We start from the raw sequence: 7,697 nt of genomic DNA, 5'->3' as shown, positions 1-7,697 counted from the left end.
TGGAAGTTGGAGACCAGCCTGGCCAACGTGGTGAAACCCCGTCTCTACTAAAAATATAAAAAATTAGCCGGGCGTGGTGGTCCCAGCTACTCAGGAGGCTGAGGCAGGAGGATCACCTGAGCCTGGGAGGTGGGAGTTGCAAGGACCTGGGATCGCACCACTGCACTCCAGCCTAGGCAACAGAGCAAAACTCTGTTTCAAAAAACAAAAAACAGGCTGAGTGCAGTGGCTTACGCCTGTAATCCCAGCACTTTGGGAGGCCGAGGCGGGTGGATCACCTGAGGTCAGGAGTTCAAGACCAGTCTGCCCAACATTGTGAAACCCTGTCTCTACTAAAAATACAAAAAAAAAATTAGCCAGGTGTGGTGGCGTGTGCCTGTAGTCCCAGCTACTCAGGAGGCTGAGGCGGGAGAATCACTTGAACCCGGGAGGTGGAGGCTGCAGTGAGCCGAGATCACACCACTGCACTCCAGCCTGGGTGACAGTGAGACTCCATCTTAAAAAATATCAAAAAACAAAAACAAAAGACCTTTAAAATGACAGAGCCTCCACACTCAGGGACATTACACTGTCAGAATATTAAAACCTGACCATCAGAGAAGGAGGTCCACAAAGGTTGAGAGTCCCCATCTCCTGTATAGCAAAAACACAAAAAGCCCAGAGGCCTTATACCCAGGTAGAAAATAAACAAACTGACCTGGAGAATTCACAGTCTAGAAAACAGGGCACCAAATAGCTTAGAAACCTCATACCTGGCTGGGCCCGGTGGCTCATGCCTGTAGTCCCAACACTTTGGGAGGCAGAGGTGGGTGGATCACTTGAGCCCAGGAGTTTGAGACCAGCCTGGGCAACACAGCAAAATCCTGTTTCTACAAAAAAATACAAAAATATTAGCCAGGTGTGGTGGTGCTCGCCTATAGTCCCAACTACTTGGGAGGCTGAGGTGAGAAGATCCCTTGAACCCAGGAGGTGGAGGTTGCAGTGAGCTGAGATCGTGTCACTGCACACCAGCCTGGGTGACAGAGCAAGACCCTGTCTCAAAAAAAAAGGAAAGAAAAGAAAGAGAAAGAAAGAGAGGGAAAGAGAGAAAGAGAGAGAGAGACAGAGGAAGGAAAGAAAGAAGGAAGGAAGAAAGGAAGGAAGGAAGGAGAAACAGAGAAAGAAAGAGAGAGAGAAAGAGAGAAGGAAGGAAGGAAGGAAGGAAGGAAAGAAAGAAAGAAAGATAGAAAGAAAGAAAGAAAGAAAGAAAGAAAGAAAGAAAGAAAGAAAGAAAGAAAGAAAGAGAAAAAGAAAGAAAGAAAGCCAGCCTTACACCTTGGACAGAGATTTCCCCAAAAGCTTAGAGACCTCACACTATGTGACACAAGACACAAAAGAGCTCAGAGATTTCACTCCGTGGAAGAAAGACCCAGGTAACTCAGATACCATACACCATGGTATAGAGACTCTCAAACAGATTAAAGATATCACAGCCTGTACAAAGACCCTCAAGCTACTCAGGGACCTGGCACTCTAGCACACAGAACTCCCCAACAGCTAATATCACCACATGATAAAATGCTCCCACCAGTCTTTGAGATTTCACAACTTGAAATACAGACTCCCAAAATTACTTGTACATTTAACATCCTACAAAAAGATACTGAAGAGCTCATTGGCCAGGCACGGTGGCTCACACTTGTAACCCCAGCACTTTGGGAGGCTGAGGTGGGTGGATCACCTGAGGTCAGGAGTTCAACACCAGCCTGGCCAGCACAGTGAAACACCGTCTCTACTAAAAATACAAAAATTAGCTGGGCGTGGTGGCAGGTGCCTGTAATCCCAGCTACTCAGGAGGCTGAGGCAGGAGAATCGCTTGAACCTGGGAGGCGGAGGTTGCAGTGAGCCGAGATCGAGCTACTGCACTCCAGCCTGGGCGACAGAGCTAGACTCCATCAAAAAAAAAAAACAAAAGAAAGAAAGAAGAAAGAAGAAAAGAAAGAAAGAGAGGGAGGGAGGGAGGGAGGAAGGAAGGAAGGAAGGAGGGAAGGAAGGAAGGAAGGAGGAAGGAAGGAAGGAAGGAAGGGAGGAGGAAGGAAGGAAGGAAGGAAGAAAGAAAGAAGCTCATTGTCCTCACATTTTAGATATAGTCAATAAATTGGCTCAGAGACCTGGTATATGGGTAAATATGCCTTGGAAGAACAATGTGGCCTCAAACTCAAGGAGAGAACCTCAAAAGTTCAGAAATGTCCACGGTCAGGGATACCAATCCTCAAAAATGGTAATCACCTCACAATGATGAAAATGGACCCATAAAGAGTTCAGAGAACTAACACCATGATAAAAATAAACCAGCTCATATGTTGCGGTAAACTGAGGAACAGAGAGACCAATATGGAGTAGAGGAGAATTGTTGTTTATTTTAGGTACACACTGGCTCAGCTTTTTGAATATGAATCCACTGAGCCGGTGCGTACCTAAAATAAACAACAATCCTCATGTACTCCATATTGGTCTCTCTGTTCCTCAGTTTACCGCAACATTTTTGGCGACCACAAAAGGACTGGAGAGGGCCCACGGGTCTCAAACCACCCAGAGAGGTTGGTTTCCTAACCATGGAAAGCATTGTCGAAGTAACCGCTGAGCTAAAGCCAGCCCCTAGAGGCAAAGGAGACATTTATAAAACATAATAATGCTTAAGAAGCCTGGGAAAAGAGTAACAGTAAAAGAATCTGTCTTTCTCTTTTTATTCCTTCAACCTTGCTCTGGAAGTTGGCGGGGCGGGGTGGGGGTGTCTGGAGCCCATCCCTTTGGCCTTGGGTATTCGGACAGCATTGTATTAAAACTGTCTTTGAAGTGAACTTGCTAGGCAGAGGAAAACTTGTTCTTTTCTTTTTAACCCTTGCCTTGCCTGTTACTTTTCTTGGAATGAATAAATGCAGTACTTATTATTACTATTAGTAGTATTTTAAAATTTCTGCCTCACGTAGAACTCACATTCAAGGAACTGTGAGATGTCACATGTTGGGAGGTAGAACCCTAAAGGGTTCAGAAGCCTCACAGCCTGGCCTATAGATCAGAGACCTGGGAAACAGCCTACAGTCTTCACACCCTGAAACTCAGACCCCCAAATATCCCAAGAAATTCATAGTCTGAAAGAAAAATATTTCAGTGACTTCACATCTTGTGACACAGGCTCCTAAACACCTCAGGACCTCATACTGTTGGTCAGCCACCTCCTGAGGTCAAATACCTCAGAAAGCTCACACCTTGGAAAAAAAATGCAAAGTACTCAAGGTCCTCACATTATTGCTATGAAAGGTGTCAGAATCTAAATGGAGTCACTTATGTTTAAAAAAAAACCAGAAAAACAAAACAACAAAACAACAACAACAACAAAAAAAAAAAAAAAACAGAGCCAGGCACGGTGGCTCACGCCTGTAATCCCAGCACTTTGGGAGGCCGAGGCGGGTGGATCGTCTGAGGTCAGGAGTTCGAGACCAGCCTGGCCAACATAGTGAAACCCCGTCTCTACTGAAAATACAAAAAATTAGCAGGGTGTGGTGGTGCATGCCTGTAATCCCAGCTACTCAGGAGGCTGAGGTAGGAGAATCTCTTGAACCTGGGAGGTAGAGGTTGCAGTGAGCGGAGATCGTGCCATTGCACTCCAGCCTGGGCAACAAGAGTGAAACTCCATCTCAAAAACAAACAAACAAACAAACAAACAAAAACTGGCAAATAGAGCTGGGGAAGAAAGGGTTCTCAAGTTTGTATACCTGATAACAAAAAGTATCACCAAAGACTGCAAAAAAAAAAAATCCTGTTTGGGTGTGGTGGTGCACACCTGTAATCTCAACTACTTGGGAGGCTGAGGTGAGAGGATTGCTTGAGCCCAGGAGTTCAAGACCAGCCTGGGTAACATAGAGAGATCCCATCTCAAAAGAAAAAAAAGAAAAAAGGCCTGGTGCAGTGGCTCACGCCTGTAATCCCAGCACTCTGTGTGGCTGAAATGGGAGGATTGCTAAAGGCCAGAAGTTCAAGACATGCGTGGGCAACATAGCGAGACCCCATCTCTAAAACAATTTTTTAAAGAAAAAAAATTTTTTTGAGGCAGGGTATCACTATGTCACCCAGGCTAGAGTGCAGTGGCATGATCACAGCTCACTGCAGCCTTGGTTGAGGCTCAATTTATCCTTCCACCTCAGCCTCCTGAGTAGATGGGGCTACAGGAGTGCACCACCACTCCTGGCCAAAAAAATATATTTAAAAAAGAAAAAACCCCCACAATTTTGCACAAAGGCCATTACAACCTTAAGCAAAAAATACTTTGAGGACATCTGCCTAGCAACTGCCTATCCAACTCTGGATTGGTATCACCCTTGTTACTGATTTTGTGGCCAAGGACAATCATTTGAAAACAATTACATAACTCTCCTCATTTTTCCTTTAAAAACCTTTGCTTTCCTTTACCTCCCTGAGTATGTACATAGTTTACTATGGCACACATATTCCCATTGCAATGCCCCATCCCTGAATGAACGTATTTTTCTTTCTTTTTTTTTTTTTGAGACAGAGTCTCACTCTGTCACTCAGGCTGGAGTGCAATGGCACGATCTTGGTTCACTGCAACCTCTGCCTCCCGAGTTCAAGTGATTCTCCTGCCTCAGCCTCCTGAGTAGCTGGGACTACAGGCACCCGCCACCACGCCTGGCTAATTTTTGTATTTTTAGTAGAGACGGGGTTTCACCATATTGGCCAGGCTGGTCTCGAACTCCTGACCTTGTGATCCGCCTGCCTCGGCCTCCCAAAGTGCTGGGATTACAGGCGTAAGCCACCGCGGCCAGCCAAATATCTTTTTCTTTAGAGAGCCTCTCTGTTATTTAGGTTAACCCTGAGAAGCAGAACCTCAAATAGTTTGTAGATATCACACCCTAAGACACAGATCCCCAAAGAATTAAGAGATCTCGTACCTGAGACACAGTCCCTCAAATAAGCCTTACACTTTCCCCTGTAGATTAAGCCGTTTGTTCCGTAAGGGTAACAGGCTACGTGGTCTAGGAAGTGTGGTAACTGTTTCCCTCCTCCAGCCAGCACCACAGGGAGCAAGAAGGAATCTTTCTCCAGATTCTCTCTGTTCATCCAGTGAGAGTCTGGTGAGGTTTCTGGAGTAAAAACCTGCAAAAGTTAGCCAGGCATGGTGGCTCACACCTATAATTCCAGCACTTTGGGAGGCCGAGGCAGGTGGATTGCTTGAGCCCAGGAGTTCAAGACCAGCCAGAGCAACATAGTGAGACCTTGTCTCTATTATAAATAAATAAATAAATAAATAACAATTTTAGACCGGGCGCAGTGGCTCATGCCTGTAATCCTAGCACTTTGGGAGGCCAAGGCAAGCGGATCACCTGTCAAGACCAGCCTGGCCAATACAGTGAAACCCCGTCTCTCTAAAAATACAAAAATTAGCTGGGCGTGCTGGCAAGCGTCTATAATCCCAGCTACTCAGGAGGCTGAGGCAGGAGAATAGCTTGCACCCAGGAGGCAGAGGTTGCAGTGAGCCAAGATCGCGCCACTGCACTCCATCCTGGGCAACAGAGAGAGACTCCATCGCAAAAATAAATAAATAAAAATAATAATAATTTTAAAATAACCTGCAAAAGGGTGGGAACTCCCCTATGACAGCGGTGCCCAAAAGCTTCACACTCTTTCCGTAGCCTGCACTCGGCCTCCAGAAATCCATCAACATTTCAAGTTAAAACTTCCTATCAGCTCATATAGCATCTGGTGGCTTCAGCCTGGGGTAAGCAAATGCTCCAGTCCTGTGTCTCTCTGCAGGTACTGTGTCTCTCTCCAGATTTCAGGATGGTCACCTGTCCTGTGATCTCAGTTCTCTGATGAGTTCGTGCAGTTGTTCATTTGCTTTCTGCCCAGGTTTTTTCATGTGAGGTTAGGAGTTTCTTTTCAGTTCTTTTTACGTCCATGTTAAAACCGGAAGCCTTTTATTTCTTTTTGATCTTAAAATCTTTTCTCCTTTTCCTCTCAAGCCATTATCTGTTGTTTTTATTTGCTCTTATGTTACTTCTAGTTTGTTTGTTTTTAGAGAGAGAGTCTCAATCTGCTGCCGAGGCTGGAGTGCAGTGGCGCAATCATGGTTCACTGCAGCCTCAAACTCCTGGGCTCAAGTGATCCTTCCACCTCAGCCTCCCAAGTAGTTGGGACTACAGGCATGTGCCACCACACCCAGCTTCCTTCTAGTTTAGTCTGCATTTCTGAAATGACTTTTTGTTTTGTTTCTAATTCTTTCTCAAATTCTATTACCCCATTTCTGAATTTTTCTCTTTCTGATATATGCTGTTCTTTCTTATCTTTTATAATTTCTTAATCTCTGAGCTCATTTGGCAATATTAGGATAGAATTTTCATCTGTTTTGCAGGCACATCTTTCTGGCATTCTCCCATTGTCTGTAGTGAGGTCATTCTGCTCTGTATTTTCTATTTTCTTACAATAACTTTTTACGGGATTTGACTTCCATCTTTTTATACGACATTAATTTTCTGGCATGTTTAGAAGGAAAGCTCTTCTAAGTTCACGGTTATAGCTCCCTCTTCTGTTTCTGTGAAAAGCTCCAAATGATGGGAGCTCGCTTTCAGAGATAGTCAGGTTCTGTTGTCTCTCACTTTTATATGAACTTTGTTTTTCCTTGATTTATATGTTCCCCCTACTCACGTTGGATTCTATTTCCAGTTTTTCCAGTGTGCCTATTTTGACAGTTCATGGGACCCAGAATGTTCCAGCCCTTTCAGAAGTATTCTTTATTTTGGTTTATGTTTTAAAAGTTCTATTAATAAGTTATAAAAATCTATATCTGACACACACACATACACAGAAAGCGAAAGAATGAAAACACTAGAAGATTACATAATAAATGACTAATAACGATTAATGGTGGGATGGACACTGGGTAGATGGACTGTGATGGCAGGAAGCTTTCCACTGCCCTTTTTGTTTTTTTGGTTTTTTTTGAGATGGAGTCTTGCTTTGTCGCCCAGGCTGGAGTGCAGTGGCGCAATCTTGGCTCACTGCAACCTCCGCCTCCGTTCAAGTGATTCTCTCCTGCCTCAGCCTCTCAAGTAGCTGGGATTACCGGCACCCACCACCACCCCCGGCTAATTTTTGCATTTTTAGTAGAGACACGGTTTCACCAAGTTGGCCAGGCTGGTCTCAAACTCCTGACCTCAGGTGATCTGCCCACCTCGGCCTCCCAAAGTGCTGGGATTACAGGTGTGAGCTACCATGCCCAGCCCACTGCACTCCTTTTCACCTTTTCACCTTTGCTTCTGAAGCATATGCGTATCACATATTCAAAAATTAAGTAAGTCTTTAAAAATGTGCCCACACACTGGGTATATACCCAAAAGAAAAGAAATCGTTCTACCAAAAAGACACATTGCAGCACTAGTCACAATAACAAACACATGGAATTAGCCTAGATGCCCATCAACAGCAGATTGGATAAAGAAAATGTGTCAGATATACACCATGGAATACTACACAGTCATAAAAAAGAACGCAGTCATGTCCTTTGCAGCAACATGGATGCAGCTGGAGGCCATTATCCTAAGCAGATTAATACAGGAAAAGAAAAACAAATACCACATGTTCTCACTTATAAGTGGAAGTTAACACTGAATACACATGAATGTAAAGATGGGAAAAATAGA

The 7,697-nt window shown here is 44.5% G+C and overlaps 1 pseudogene; it reads right to left on the bottom strand.

Annotated features, from left to right (window-relative positions):
- VTRNA3-1P (vault RNA 3-1, pseudogene) lies at window positions 2,536–2,636 on the bottom strand (annotated as a pseudogene).

Source organism: Homo sapiens, chromosome X (genome assembly GCF_000001405.40).
Source record: "Homo sapiens chromosome X, GRCh38.p14 Primary Assembly".
Taxonomy (NCBI): Eukaryota; Metazoa; Chordata; class Mammalia; order Primates; family Hominidae; genus Homo; species Homo sapiens.
This window is presented reverse-complemented; position numbering and strand designations above follow the sequence as displayed.